Source organism: Homo sapiens, chromosome 6 (assembly GCF_000001405.40).
Source record: "Homo sapiens chromosome 6, GRCh38.p14 Primary Assembly".
NCBI classification, from domain to species: domain Eukaryota; kingdom Metazoa; phylum Chordata; class Mammalia; order Primates; family Hominidae; genus Homo; species Homo sapiens.
Window position 1 is genome coordinate 100,300,175 of NC_000006.12, and position 981 is coordinate 100,301,155.

General features: G+C 42.2%; 1 annotated feature.

Annotated features, from left to right (window-relative positions):
• Window positions 299–593: an enhancer, noted in NCBI's record as "tiled region #11257; HepG2 Activating DNase matched - State 9:DNaseU". NCBI's record gives its function as "activates a minimal TATA promoter and a strong SV40 promoter by Sharpr-MPRA in HepG2 cells {active_cell/tissue: HepG2}" and the evidence as "EXISTENCE:reporter gene assay evidence [ECO:0000049][PMID:27701403]".

The window sequence follows — 981 nt, forward strand, 5'->3', positions numbered from 1 at the left end:
CAAATGGTGTCCCAGGTACTCATACTTCTACCAAGCCAACTACCAATTTGAGCATTCCCTCAACCCTCTTCTCAGATTTCATGATTCACTAGAATAACTTGGAGAATTCAGGAAAATACTTGGCTTATGTTTACTGGTTTATTAAAAAGGATATAATTCAGAAACAGCCAACTGGAAAAGATGCATAGGGCAAGGCATGGGAGGGGCGATGGCATAGTTTCCATACCTTCTAGGGGTGTACCAACCCACCCAGCACTTCAATGTGTTCACCAACACAGAAACTCAGGGAATCTTGTTCAAGATTCTTTATAAACCAATCTCCAATCCCATTCCGCTTCCTGGGGGTCGGGGAATGGGGCTGAAAGTTCCCATCCTCCAATCATGTTTTTAGTATTTCTGGTGATCAGTTCCTATCCTGAAGCTATAGTAGGCTCCACTTTGACTCACCTCACTAGCATAAGTTCATGTGTGGTGGAACAGCAAAAGGCATCCTATGACTCAGGACATTCCAATGGCTTTAGTACTTCTGTGCCAGGAACTGAGGACAAAGATCAAATATATTTTATTTTATTTATTTATTTATTTATTTTAAGACAGAGTCTTGCTCTGTTGCCCAGGCTGGAGTGCAGTGGCATGATCTCTGCTCACTGCAACCTCCACCTCATGGGTTCAAGTGATTCTCCTGCCTCAGCCTCCCAAGTAGCTGGGATTACAGGCACCTGCCTCCACGCCTGGCTAATTTCTGTATTTTTAGTAGAGACGGGGTTTCACCATGTTGGCCAGGTTTGTTTCAAACTCCTGACTTCAAGTGATCCACCCACTTCAGCCTCCCAAAGTGCTGGGATTACAGGCATGAACCACCATGCCTGGCCAGATAATTTTATTGTATCAAAAGTGGCTATATGATATTTATGAAACATACCTAAAATAAAGTAGCATTGAAAATAATGGTTAAATATATATCAGGAAAATGCTATTAAA